Source organism: Homo sapiens, chromosome 15 (genome assembly GCF_000001405.40).
Source record: "Homo sapiens chromosome 15, GRCh38.p14 Primary Assembly".
NCBI lineage: Eukaryota > Metazoa > Chordata > Mammalia > Primates > Hominidae > Homo > Homo sapiens.
In genome coordinates this window covers 93,591,636-93,606,923 of record NC_000015.10, presented here as the reverse complement: position 1 = coordinate 93,606,923, position 15,288 = coordinate 93,591,636, and the positions used below count along the sequence as shown (strand labels likewise).

Here is a 15,288-nt window from a genome sequence, read left to right as displayed (position 1 = left end):
CGGAGATGCTCACAAGAGGTCAGATTGATACTGAAACTCACCAAAGGCAGACACTATAGTGATTCAGCCCTGATACCAAAGAAAATACGGAGGCGATTTAGAGATATTTTAAAATCTTGGGAGCTAGTTGAGTTTTTAATGATTCCTCTCTGGGCTATGCACCATCGGGCATGGTATTGTAATGAAGTGGCCCACCAACTCATTGTCCTGAAGCAGAGGAGACAGCACAGCGTTTGTAGAAAAAAAGATATGAGTTTAATGTCTTTGACAGGACGGGATTATCTCTTAGCCTCAGTTTCCTTATTTACAAATGGAGATAGTAACTGTGCAGCTTTTTCATAAGATCACTGTAAGGTTCAAAAGTTGGCATGATTATGGCAATTGTCTGCTGGGTTGCTTCCCTCTGTCCCTGTGATCCCCTCTCTATACTTCCCCAGCTTCCTCTCTGCCCTGAGGTACCCACCTGGATACCTGGATAGATTCCACATCCACTGGGCTCCATACACTGACTTCAGGTTAGATTTGGCCATGAAGAGCACTAGCAGGAGAACAAGAGGAGGAGCGAGAGTGGGGCTGGGAGTGTATTCCTTTGGCTCCCACCTGGCAAGCTCACCCCAGGCTAGCTATGTCCTTTGCCCTGAGGTGGTAGTACCCGCAGGTCACCAAGTCCACCTACCCTCTATGGCGGTTTCCAGGAACTGTTAGCTCCCCTCAGCCCTTTTTGCCTGAGGATGGTAATGGTGTCCCCCACTTTATGACTAGCTCAGGGTCCTGCTTCATCCTTTGTGGTTTTTCCATGTCCTGCTCACACCATCTTAAGAGGCCTTTTATTAAACACTACTCAAATCATCCTAATTTGAATGTACCATCTGTTTCTTCTGGCCACCTGAATAATACACACTCTAAAAATATTCTATTGGCTAATACATGTCAGAGGTGTAATTTATTCATTTTATTTATTTATTTATTTATTTTGAGACAGGGTCTCACTCTGTCACCCAGGCTGGAGTGCAGTGGCATGATCACAGCTCACTGCAGCCTTGACCTCCTAGGCTCAAGCCATCCTCCCACCACCACCTCCAGAGTAGCTGGGACTACAGGGGAATAGCACCATGCCTGGCTAATTTCTGTATTTTTTGTAGAGACAGGGTTTCACCACATTGCCCAGGATGGTGTCAAACTCCCAGGCTCAAGCAATCTGCCCACCTCGGCCTCCCAAAGTGCTGAGTTTACAGACATGCGCCACTGTGCCCAGCCTTAACTTAAAATAACAAAAGAATTTTAAAGCCAACTGTCAATTTCCCCTTTATAATTCCTCATTTATGATTTACCTATTACAGTTAAATAAAATTCTTAAAATATAAACAAAACATCCTGCAGTCCAGTAACAATTGTATGTAGGAGAGCAATCAAATGAATCATTTCCACTGTCTCGCTGTTTGGATGCTAAAATCCATATCACTCAGTAAATATAACATACGTCTATAGTTCACTTGTTATCAAATATTGTCAGCAAATGTCCCTAGAAGGATCAAGCAGGGACCCTTCAATGTTGCACAGACCATTTGGATGAAGACCCCCTAACTTCCTGTAAGACATATGATTGCCTTCCCCACCACAGGTATAACAGATCCTTGGACCAAATGTGACCACAATTACAGTGGGGTATGGTCCTCTGCTTAAACACTGGCTTTTGCCAGCCTCACTGGAAAGCTATGATGACCCTGTATCTGAATCCTTTTACCCAGGATCTAAACTGGCATAGTGGGTGGGCTTCGGGCTAGACCTTGCTCTTCTTTCTACCTGGTCCTGGCTGCAGGGACAGACATCTGCCTCTGGCCTGAAACTGGAGTTATCACACACAAGAAATTCTCCCAATTGGCCTGAGAGCTCTGAGGCTACTGAAGATGAAAATAAAAAATTAGGAAGCCCAGTCATCTTTCATCCACCAGAGATGAGATGTGGCAGTTTTCAGTAGTTGGTGATGGGCTAATTCAGAACTTGACTTTCACATAGAGATAACATGAGAATGAAAATACCACCATTGTACAGATAAAAACAAAATATTTTTAAAAAGGTGACAGTGCAATGTGCCCTATGTTTAGGGTCAGGACTCCTGAGTTTGAGAGCTCAGCTCTATCTCTGATTACCTGTGTCACTTTAGGCCGGCCACCTGTGCAGCTTTCCCAGCCTATTGTTTTTAAGTGAAACTTAGACATACCAACACCTTTCCCAACAGATTCCACAGGGATTTGTAATGATTAGCAAATGTGATAATACCAGAAAACATTCTGCAAAACAAAATTGTATGCAAATGTGCTGTTTTGTTACAAATGAAAACATGAAGACAAGCGTGTAAAAATGAATGGAGACTGGAGGAAGCCTCAGGGGCTCACAGCAACAACGTTCCTGGAAGGCAAAAGGCTTCAAGTGTTCTTCAGTGTTAAACACTTGGGATAGATTCAGGAGAAGGGCATTCAAAGTCGTCTCTTTTTGGGGAGGTGGGAAGGCAGATGGGGACCACCAGGAGGAAAGAATGCAGCTGAAGAAATTTACACAAGAAGGAGCCAAATGAACTGCTTTAAAACCTTCCTTACGGTGGCTCTCCCTATATGGACAGTGATCAAACTTCCCAGTTTGCCCAGACCTGAGGGGTTTTCTGGAACCTGGAATTTTCAATACTAAAACCAGGACAGTTCCAGGCAGCCAAGATGAATTGGTCAGCCTACTATACTTACCCCGCTCCTGTTGGTGAAATCCCTGTACCCTTCATTCTTGGGGTGTGGTGGTATTTCTCTACCAAACTACACTTTGTCTTCTCTCTTTTTAAAGCTGTTTCATCTTTTTCACTTGTCTAATGTTTCCACCGAGCATGCAGAGGGATAGGAAAAACCAAGTGGCCTCTGTTTCTTAGTAGTCTGCTGGTGCCTATAGAAATATTTTGTTTCTATTAAGCTTTTCTCCAGTTTACTTCTAAAGGAAAGTAGCAGAACAAGGCAGCCCACCCCAAAATGAGAGTTTTACCATTTCATTCCACATGCTCCCAATAGACACTGTTTTTAGGAGAAAATATGCTTTCTCCTGATTCTACAAACATGATGGGAAATGTTTCTCTCTGAATAGCTGCTGTGGCCTGGATCTGCTGGTGATGTTATCTGCTTAAACAATTACTTTTGCTGGAAGGAGAGTTGATTGGGTGCATAAAGATACTTCAGATAGGCTTTTGGTTCTTGAAAACCAGTGGTCATGGCCATCTCCTTAGCCAGCTAAGGGCACTGGATGTCCCTCTCCAGAGCCCACCGTGCAACAGCAGAAGGGATACAGCCAAGCCGAATTACAGCAATTACTCTCCATTTTTACTCAAATGTAATTTACCTCCACTCACATTCATCAGCTTTGACAAACAAACCACTGTTCTTCATCTCTGAGCGATCAGAGCCTGTTGGGGAGAGGAAGAGAGACACCTTCCCCTCCACACATACCCATAATTAACCAGTTAAGGCAGACAGTGGCGGGCTATAGAATTTTGCTACTGAAGTGTGGTCCCTAAGGACAGCATCAGCATCATTTGGATGCTTCCTAGACATGCATTGTCTCCAGCCCACCCCAGATCGAGTCAGAATCTGCATTTCAACATGCTCTGCAGGTGATTCCTGTTCACTCTAAAGTCTGAGAAGCACAGAAAATGGGAAATCAATGTGCTTGCACTGGGAAGGAGGAATACATGCTAGCGGGGAGGAGCCTTCCTGAAGGATGGATGAAGGAACCCCAAAAGCAGTGACGTGATCCCAGGGGAATAGCAGATGGTCACAGAGAGCAGGGAAACGCCTGAAAGAACTGGAGCTTAGGGTCGAGACTGAGATGAGTATGAGACCAGGTTCATTAAACGGGTTAAATGCCCAGCTGGCAATCTGGACTTAGTCTGAAGAAATAAGGAAAAAAATCAGTGACTGTTTTGAGGAAGAAATGCTGTGTTCAGCTCTGTGCTTTAAAAGTGCAACCCCAGCTACTGCGTGAAGGAGGGGAGAAGGGAAGTGAGGGGAGAAAAGAGAAGCATCAAGACAAGCACTTTGAAATAGCATCATACTCTACTCCCCACCAAGGGAGTCTGCAAGTAGTATAGATCCCTAAGTGCCCCCTGGACCTACCCACCAAATAAGCTGCAGCCCACTAACGCCTAGGAACACTACTGAGAGAATGATTAATCGTTAAGCCCAGCATATTGGTGTTTATCTTTAAGGATAAAATTACCATTTCTTTCCCTTGAGGCAGCTCTGATTCAGGAACTTAGTGGGTTGAATGGTGTCTCCCAGAAAGATAAGTCCACGTGCTAACCCTGGAAACTGTGTATATAACCTTACTTGGAAAACAGGTCTTTGTAGATGTAATTATCCTGGATTATAAGATGAACCCTGAATCCAGTGATGTGTCCTTATGAAAGACAGAAAAGAAATGTCCTTATAAAAGATAGAAAAATAAATAAATGAATAAATAAAAGATAGAAAAGAAGTGTCCTTATAAAAGATAGAAAAGAAGCGTCCTTGTAAAAGACAGAAAAGAAGACGTGAACATAGAGTGAGAAAAGAAGGAAGCCATGCGAGGGTAGAGGCAGAACTTAGAGTTATGCAGCCACAAGCCCTCAGAAGCTGGAAGAGAGAGGGAAGGATTCTCTTGTAGAGGCTGCAAAGGGAAGATGGCCCTACCGACACCATGATTTTTGACTTCTGCCCTCCAGAACCGTGGCAGGATATGTTTCTGTTATAAGCCCCCAATCTGTATTAATTTGTTATGGCAGCCCTACAAAACTACCACAGGGAATGACTGAGGCTTTTGGATTTCATGTGCAAATGATACTTAAAAATTAGCCCTGTCTAAACGATGACAATGATAACAGTGGTGAACGACAACAGTTCAAATTATAATAATGGTGCCCATACTTGGGCTTAGCATGCTTCTGTATCTATCTCTGTCCTGAGCCACTTTTTCACAGTTATGATTGCACAGAACCATCTGTGTTCTCTTTCCTTCCTTGTTCCTCCTAACACGTGGCTAATGATGCATCATCGGTCAGCATTTCCCAACTGATAGGCAAAAGAATGCACATCCCCCTCCCCACATATCTACATCCTCATCCCAGAACCTGTGACTGTGTTACCTGTTATGGCAAAAGAATGTTGCCTGTGTAAGACTTTGAGATGGGAGAAATTATCCTGCATTATCCACTAATGTAACACTAGTAGCACTAATGTAATTATAGGGGCTTTCTAAAGAAACGGAGAAACAGGAGATGTACGACTGAAGCAGAAATTAGAATAATGCTAAGTTCTGATCCAAGAACTGTGGCAGCTTCTAGAAGGTGGAAAGGGCCAGGAAATGAATTCTCCCTTAAAACCTCCAGAAGGCCTGCAGCTCTGCCAACTCATTTGGGCTTCTGACCCTCCAGAACCATAAGATAATAAATGTGTGTTGCTTCAAGTCACAAAGTTTGTGGCAATTTTTTATGCAACAATGCCCTGTAGTCCTAGCTATTGGGGAGGCTGAGGTAGGATAATCACTTGAGTCTAGGAGTTCAAGGCTGCCATGAGCTGTGATTGAGTCACTGCACTCCATGCTGTGGATGGGGACAAAGCAAGACCCTATCTCAAAAAAAAAAAAAAAAAGAAAAAGAAAAGAAAAGAAAACATATATATACCATTTTTTTCACTGTGCCTCCTTAATGGAAAAAAAAATTTTTTTTTTTTTGAGACAGAGTCTCACACTGTCACCCAGACTGGAGTGCAGTGGTGCCATCTCAGCTCACTGCAACCTCCATCTCCCAGGTACAAGCAATTCTCCTGCCTCAGCCTCCCCAGTAGCTGGGATTACGGTGCCCACCACCACAACCAGCTAGTTTTTGTATTTTTAGTAGAGACAGGGTTTTACCATGTTGGCCAGGCTGGTCTCGAACTCCTGACCTCAAGTGATCCGACCTTCTCAGCCTCCCAAAGTGCTGGGATTACAGATGTGAGCCACCGTCCCTGGCCAAGGAAACTTTTTAGAGCATTTCCCTAACCACTCTCCTTCCAGCATGAAATATTAATATCAAAGATATACTGTATGTCTGTCTATGTACTGTGGCTCTGAGGAGGGTCACAAACAATTTGAATAGCCAAGATTTTTTCACCCTCCAAGAACCGATTTCATTCCCTTAGGGCAATGTCACCATGTTGAAAATGCATGAACTAAGTCCTATCTGTCCGTCCTTCCTGGCACAGCTCCATTTTTATCTCCCCCATGAAGCTTCCTCAAATCAGCTAAGCAATTTTGAGTTATAGGAACATTTTATGATCTCTTCTCCTGTTGCCCACCGTGTGGTTTTAACGAACCATATGGCTTAGGTTTAAACATCTCCTTTATCAGTCAACCCTTTTCCAAAGATGAAGTGTCCAATGGCTAAGCTCTGTTCGAATGTTTTCCACACATTGAGCTGAAATCTGTCGTTCTGCAACTTCCACCCGCTGGTCTTAACCCTATCCTTTGGAAGATTCACATAAAATGCAGCTGATTCCTTTTTTTTTTTTTATTCTCCCAACATCCCTTACTTGAGGATGTTCGTCTCCTTCCCAGTCATCCTTTTTTACAGGATGAAAATCACAAGTTCCTTAAATGAGTCCTTAGGTGACGTAGCTTGTGAGCATTTTCACTGCTCTGATAATGCCATGAATGTACTCTGTTTCACTGCGGAGGCTGAATTTTGGGTAGTGGATTCCAGAATGCATCATTTTATCTCTTAAAGCTTGATACTCAGACTGGAACTAAGTTGTCTTGGTAAAGTTTGACCAGAACAGGGAAGAGCAAGATCTTACCTCCCTTTTTCTAACGTATTCCTCTACATGCAACTTTTGGCAATAATATTAATAAGTGTAATGTGGCTGACAAATTATTAAGTTTACTTACTGCGAACTAAAATGCTCAACATTAACTAGTGCTAATCCTGTGATATTTGGAGGAAAATTTTAGAACCGCATACTTATTCCTATTAATTTCTATTACATTAGTCTCTCTAATCTTTTTGATGTTTATTTAGAACCAGATTCTCACATACAACATAGGCACAGTCCCCCCTCCTAGCTTTTGAACATTTATAAATATGAATATGCCTTTATATTTCACCATGTCATTAATAAAATAATACTGAACTATCAGGATAGGACAAAGGTCAAATCCCTGAAGCACACTACTAGAATCCTCTTCAGGTAGACATTAATCAATTAACTGACTTAGCTGGGGCCACTCAACAGCCATCTAAAAATACCTACAACTCATTGATCTTTCTTGTATTTTTTCATCTAGTCGACAAGGCTTCAAAAGATATCATGCCCTTCTCTTTTCTCCTAGAGGTACCTCATTTTCTGAATCTTCAGCATAGTAGCTCTCAAAAGCACTGAATGAGACGAGTCTGATACAATTTGTTTTCAGCGTACCCAGTCCACCTTATCATTTCCTTCTCTCTACTCATGACCAGGACGTGGTATTCCATTTTAGAATTTTACCCCAGGGACTGGAAAGATGCATCCTCGGTATATGGACAAGGAGCTAGACTGGGAGAGAGCTTCCTGGGGGGACCCCTCTCTCCTTATATTGCTCTGAGTGAAGTCCCACCTGCTCTAAGTCTGAAGATTGGTAGAGCAGATGCTCCAGTCAAAGGCCACAGTAGCCATGGGGCAGCTCTTGAGCCTGAATGGATTGGAGACCAACACCAAAACATGAAGGCGGCCTGATCAGAATCTGAGACTTCTCTTCATATTTTTCAGTTTATGGCTAAGAAATTACAATTTCATAGAGCAGTACCTAGGACAGAGATACTGGGAGTTTTCCTGGGGAGGCAAAGGATGCTATCGAAAAGGGAAGGGGTGCAGGAGGCAGACGGTAGTAGATTCCAGAATGCAAAGGGAGGCCTTATACCCTTACAACCTCCAAGTCTCCAACCCTTAAACTCCCTGAGCAACATCCAGGCTTTCTGTCCTCCCCAAAGGTAGCTGGAACAGTAAGGAAAGCTCCAGGCAATATAAATGACCTCCCACGGAAAAATTATATGACACTTAAAGGGCCAAGAGTTACAAGAAAAAGACAATAAAAATCGCAATGTAACACAGCAGAAGCAGAGTTAATGATACAAGAAAATAGTAACTCAAAATAAGCTTAATAAATAGGGTTGAGGTATTCAACGAGAATTCTTACCAATATGAAGCATGAACAAGCATTAGGATGAACCAACCAGAGACATTTGCCATTAAAAATATAATTGCTGAAATAAAGAACTCAGAGGATGATTTTAATAACAGAATGGACTCAACTGAAGAAAGAACTAGAGAACTAGGGGATTTTCAGAAACTCCCCATAGGACATTGAATAAGATTAAGGGAGGTCAGAAAGAGTAAAAGTAGGAGTACTGGATGATAAAAGTAGAAATTTCAATATCCAACTAAGTGCAATTATAGGGTAAAAAGAAAAGGTAAAATGAGTGTGGGCTATACTTGAAGAAATTATATTTAATTACGTCCCACAGCTTAAAAAGATTCAAGATCTTAGACTGAAAGGGCACAAAGGGAGCCAAACAGTACCAATAAGAAAACATATTTTCCCAGTGCTACTTTATATCTCATTGGCTGGAACTGCCCCATGTAATATAGGAATGAGTCTTTATTAACTTACATCAATCGGTATTTTACCTGTGAAGCTGGTAGACGAACCTACTTTCCAAGGGCTCTGCACCTGACAACTGAACAAAATTAGGTCTCTGTTGGCAAGCCAGGACATCAAAATAAGATGAAAGTGATATTTGGCTATTGAGCAATAAATAATGTCAGCTACAGGTATTAATTGTAAAAAAAAAAAAAAAAGTTTCTGAATTATCCATTTTTAAAAATTTTTACAGCAATCATGAACTAAATATATGATACCAACATGGTGGAGATGAGGAAGATGAGGAAGAGAAAGAAAATAATATGCACATCTTAGTAGAAAGTTTTAAATACTGATTAGCTCTAGATAGCATACTAGCTTTCTATTCTGTATAACAAATAGTCACAAACTTAATAGCTTAAAACAGGATTAATTTATCACTTGCAGTAATAAGTGAGTCTGACCTCTAAAGGCCAGAGCTCAGGCAGAGCTCTGTCAGGTTCTCTCCTCAGGGTTTCACAAGGCTGAAATCAAGGTGTCACCCAAGCTGCATTCTCAGCTGGAGGCTTGACTCAGGAAGTATCTGTCTTTAAGCAATCTCTGGTTGTTGGCAGAATTAATGGCTTTGTAGCAGTAATATTCATGGAAACTTTCTTCTTCAAAGCCAGCAATAAAAAGAATCTCTGCTGCTTCAAGATTCTGATGTCTAGATGCTCTTTGCAAAAGCTCATCTGATAGATCAGGTCCATCCAAGATCATCTCCCTTTTGAGTGACTCAAAGCCAACTAACTAAGGACATTAATTCAGCTGTAAAATTCCTTACAAAACCTTAGTAATTAAAAAGGTATCATTGTGGCATAGGAACATTCAAGGAAAGCAACTGAACATGATAGAGAGGTTAGCCACTCATGTATATGTGGGAACATAATATGTGAGAGGGTTTGCATCACGAATCAGTAGAAAAAAAGAAAAAACTGATTTTACACAAAGTGTTAGAATATTTGACTCAGACCATATGGAGTAATATGTTTAAAAGAAGTTGTAATGAAATCATCCAACAGAGAAAATCAACTTGGATTAGAGTCCTAATTATGAAACATACACTATAAAACTAATTAAAAATGACTTTTTTTTATCTCAGAGGAAAAGGATTTCATAAGGAAAACCTCTAAAAGCACATAAGATTAAGGGAGGTCAGAAAGAGTAAAGGTAGGAGTACTGGATGATAAAAGTAGAAATTTCAATATCTTCTTCAAAGCATATACTATATGGGAAAAATTGGTGAGTTTGACTCTACCAAAGTGTCATAGTCCATTTTGTGTTGCTGTAACAGAATACCTGACACCAGATAATTTATTTTAAAAAGAGGTTTATTGGGCTTATGATTCTGGTGGCTGGAAAGTTCAAGAGAATGGCACCAGCATCTGCTCAGGCTCTGGTAAGGGCCTCACGCTGTCTCGCAACACGGCAGACAAGCATAAAAGCAAGTGAGCGGCTGGATGCGGTGGCTCACGCTTGTAATCCCAGCACTTTGGGAGGTTGAGGCGGGCGGATCATGAGGTCAGGAGATCGAGACCATCTTGCCTAACACAGTGAAACCCCGTCTCTACTAAAGATACAAAAAAAATTAGCCAGGCGTGGTGGTGGGCGCCTGTAGTCCCAGCTACTCAGGAGGCTGAGGCAGGAAAATGGCGTGAACCTGGGAGGCGGAGCTTGCAGTGAGCCAAGATGCACCACTGCACTCCAGCCTGGTCAACAGAGCAAGACTCCATCTCAAAAAAAAAAAAAAAAAAAGCAAGTGAGCATGTGCAAAAAGACCCAACACAAGAGGCAGTCTCACTTATAACAACCTGCTTTGGTGGGAACTACTCTGTGTCCAAAAGAGCAAGAACTCACTGATTCCAGAGAGACAATAGAGCCCTCAGAAATAATACCACACATCTACAACCATCTGATATTTGACAAACCTGACAAAAACAAGAAATGGGGAAAGAAGTACCATGCTGTTTTGGTTACTGTAGCCTTGCAGTATAGTTTGAAGTCAGGTAGCGTGATGCCCCCAGCTTTGTTCTTTTGGCTTAGGATTGTCTTGGCAATGTGGGCTCTTTTTTGGTTCCAAGACACATAATTGTCAGATTCACCAAAGTTGAAACACAGGAAGAAATGTTAAGGGCAGCCAGAGAGAAAGGTCGGGTTACCCACAAAGGGAAGCCCATCAGACTAACAGCGGATCTTTCAGCAGAAACTCTAAAAGCCGGAAGAGAGTGGGGGCCAATATTCAACATTCTTAAATAAAAGAATTTTCTTTCTATACTATAAGGCTACAGTAACCAAAACAGCATGGTACTGGTACCAAAACAGAGATATAGACCAATGGAATAGACTAGAGCCCTCGGAAATAATACCACACATCTACAACCATCTGATCTTTGACAAACCTGACAAAAACAAGCAATGGGGAAAGGATTCCCTATTTAATAAATGGTGCTGGGAAAACTGGCTAGCCATGTGTAGAAAGCTGAAACTGGATCCCTTACTTAAACCTTATACAAAAATTAATTCAAGATGGATTAAAGACTTAAACATTAGACCTAAAACCATAAAAACCCTAGAAGAAAACCTAGGCAATACCATTCAGGACATAGGCATGGACAAGGACTTCATGACTAAAACACCAAAAGCAATGGCAACAGAAGCCAAAATTGACAAATGGGATCTAATTAAACTAAAGAGCTTCTGCACAGCAAACGAAACTACCTTCAGGGTAAACAGGCAACCTACAGAATGGGAGAAAAATTTTACAATTTACCCATCTGACAACGGGCTAATATCCAGAATCTATAAAGAACTTAAACAAATTTACAAGAAAAAATCAAACAACCCCATCAAAAAGTGGGTGAAGGATATCAACAGACATTGCTCAAAAGAAGACATTTATGCAGCCAACAGACACATGAAAAAATGCTCATCATCACTGGCCATCAGAGAAATGCAAATCAAAACCACCATGAGATGCCATCTCACATCAGTTAGAATGGCGATCATTAAAAAGTCGGGAAACAACAGGTGCTGGAGAGGATGTGGAGAAATGGGAACACTTTTACACTGTTGGTGGGACTGTAAACTAGTTCAACCATTGTGGAAGACAGTGTGGCGATTCCTCAAGGATCTAGAACTAGAAATACCATTTGACCCAGCCATCTCATTACTGGGTATATACCCAAAGGATTTAAATCATGCTGCTATAAAGACACATGCATGCTTATGTTTATTGTGGCACTATTCACAATAGCAAAGACTTGGAACCAACCCAAATGTCCATCAATGATAGACTGGATTAAGGAAATGTGGCACATATACATCATGGAATACTATGTAGCCATAAAAAAGGATGAGTTCATGTCCTTTGTAGGGACATGAATGAAGCTGGAAACCATCATTCTCAGCAAACTATCACAAGGACAAAAAACCAAACACCGCATGTTCTCACTCATAAGTGGCAATTGAACAATAAGAACACATGGACACAGTGTGGGAAACATCACACACCGGGGCCTGTTGTGGGGTGGGGGGAGGGGGGAGGGATAGTATTAGGAGATATACCTAATGTAAATGACGAGTTACTGGGTGCAGCACACCAATATGGCACATGTATACATATGTAACAAACCTGCACGTTGTGCACATGGACCCTAGAACCTAAAGTAAAATAAATAAATAAATAAATAAATCCAGCAGAAATATATTCAGAGAACATGCAATTTACATAATGGAACAAAAATATCTAACAAATATAAAAACACAAGTTAACTTATAAAACTGATTTTCAGGGAAGTTAGGACATCAAACAGTATTACATATCCACAAAATCACAAACTAGTAAATGACAGCAAGGATTCAAAAGATGTCCCGTTTTATTCAAAAGCCCAATATATCTTCATTGCACTATGATGTTTAACAAGAAAAAACAATTTTTTTCATCCCAATAAGTTGAACTCAATTCTCTGCAGCAGATCCAGGACGAGGGTGAGACAAGGAAGGCACTAGCCTTGGGCTAATTTAAGAGGGTGCCAAAAATCAGTAATGAAGATAAATAATATTTTAATGAATTTTTAAAAACAATGGAAAAATGTTCATGAACAAAATATCAAGATTTTTAAATAAATGATGTAGCCCAACAATACCTTGTCAATCTTTATCGAAGCCTAAGGCAAAACTGAAAATGTCTACCTGATATACGTATATCTTTATATATATTTTTGTAGTTCTTTTTTTATGGGCCATTGAAGAAGTTGAGAAATTATTGAAAAATTGAAAGACCAGTGTATTAAAGCTCACATTATTTTATGTTGAAGTATTTCTTCATACCTAAAATTGGATCTACTATAATTTTACTTTCCTGGCTTTCATAGAAGCAAATGCATCAACAATATTTTCAACTGAAAATGAGATAAGCCAGGAAGTCAATTTTGCTCATCTGTGACCGGCTCTGAGTGGAGGCAGTGCTGCCCAGGAAAAAGGATTGCCTACACATTTGATTCTAATCTGCACCTTATTATTCGACTTGTTTAAAATGAGAAGTACCTCCTTTGGCACTTCTTGGAGGCACCAGTGGGTAATACTGATTGCTTCTCCCTTTCTCTTTAAACAGCTTTGTTGGCTGCAGAACTTCAGAGCAGGTGTGCCTCCTGTTCATGAACTATGCAGTACCTGCCCATCTGCAAGTCAGCATTTGCTTGCAAAACTTTCCTTTTTATTCACCTAGAACACAAAATTCACTGCTGAAGCTGGGTCCACAGCAACTTTTTTGAAATGCCCTTTGTGAGTCATATAAATCATCCACTTAGAACATCTGATTAACTTAAAGTAGGTGATTGATTTTAGGCAGGTTTCTTCTTACCTATTTGTAGTAAACTGGTCTTTTAGGCAGTAACTTTGGCTTCCACCAAAGGCATCCTCCCTGAGCAAGGAGGACATTAGAATTAAAGGCAAAAATCCAGGCACTGGCCGAGCATTTAAAGAAAGATTAGAAAGAAACACTCGACCTATACATTTTCCAATTAATTCTAAGATAAAAATGAAACTGAGCTGGATTATCATTCCTGTTCTCCATTAGTCATTGATTTTCTACTGCTTCAAACTCTGGTAGACTGCTTTATAATGACAAGATTGTCTGCTTATTGGAGCAGCTAGGTACTACAGTAGTGGGTCTCACTACCACAGCCCATCAGAATTATCTGGAACGCTGGTCAAGACACAGACTTTGAGCCCCAGTCCCAGAGTTTCTGATTCAGTAGGTCTGGGGTGTGGCCAGAGAATTTGCATCTCTAACAGATTCCCAAGTGAGGCTGATACTTCCAGTCCGTGGACCACACTTTGAGAACCGCTGTACCATAGTAATGTGTCTAAATACAGATATCTTGCCAAACAATAAGATGTAGCCAAGAAGGAATGAATATGTCTGTTGCTGTATCACAACTAAATGGACACCTGTAATCGGGTAAAACCAAAAAGCACCACACTTACCTTGTTGGTCTGGTTATTTGGAGCAATACTCAATCCTTCATGTGCACTCACCCCTCGGGAGCTTGTGAAACTGCAGATACTGATCCATGTGAGGGAAGACCCCACGTTTTTCATTTCTCACCCATGATGATGCTGCCAGTCCACAGACCACACTTTTAATAGCAAAAAGCAAAAATAAACCCCATTTAATACAGCTTTTCATTAAGTTACTTACCACTAATTCAGAACAGAAGGCTATTGTTCTTGTAAACAGCTTTTTAAACATGCTTCAGTCCAGAAGCAGGTTTTTTGTCAGTGGTATTGGATTTATCAAAAAATAAATTTTTACTCTACAGCTTTGTAGGAGACAAATTCCTTAGAATTGCAGGGAGGAAAGTACTTATTCCTCTCAGTAAGGAAGATGCAGGAAAATAGAGGATATGGGATAGTAGAAGATGTGGTCTCATTTGCAGCTCTTTGGCCTCGGGGTCTCCTATAGCTTTATTTTGACCTGGTGCTAAGCTTCAGTGATGTTCTGGCTTGTCATCCAGATTCTATACTCCGAAAAGAAAGACTTTGATTGGGCAGGTTTGCCACGATGTAGAAAAAGCAACCCTATTGGAAAGCGTTTGCCCTTAAACAGAAGAGTCACCATTGCCTTCAGCTGGTATACTACTATGGGCAATGAATCGTAATGAAGCTCAGCTGCCAGTGCAACTGGTTTCAGCATCACCTGCAAGCATTTGTAGAGCTGTTTCTATCTAAGCAGAGACAGTCCCAAATACGCATATATTGGTTCACTGGTTACATTGGTTCTTTGATTCAATAGTATCAATGTTAATGTCTTGATTTTTATAACTGTACTGTTGTTATGTAGGAAGATGTCCTCATTCGTAGGAAATATAAAGTAAGAGAAAAGGGACAACATACTTGCAATTTACTCTCAAATGTTTCATAAAAAATAATGTACTCAAACACATATAGAGTGAAAAAAAGAATTTTTTTAAAAGTAAATGTGTTAAGATTTTCACAACTGGCCAGGCACAGTGGCTCACGCCTGTAATCCCAGCGCTTTGGGAGGCTGAGGCAGGCAGATCATTTGAGGTCAGGAGTTCGAGT

The 15,288-nt window shown here is 40.9% G+C and overlaps 1 long non-coding RNA gene across 4 annotated transcripts in view; it reads right to left on the bottom strand.

The window, feature by feature from the left end:
- LOC107983974 (uncharacterized) overlaps nucleotides 1–15,288 on the bottom strand; it is a 207,567-nt gene that overhangs the window by 153,979 nt on the left and 38,300 nt on the right. For 2 of the 4 annotated variants that reach the window (XR_001751679.2, XR_001751680.2), the window contains exon 5: nucleotides 5,981–14,342. This is a non-coding gene — a long non-coding RNA (uncharacterized LOC107983974). Of the gene's footprint in view, nucleotides 1–5,980; nucleotides 14,343–15,288 lie in introns of those variants that run through there. The other 2 variants (XR_007064771.1, XR_001751681.2) reach the window with 2 other exon arrangements.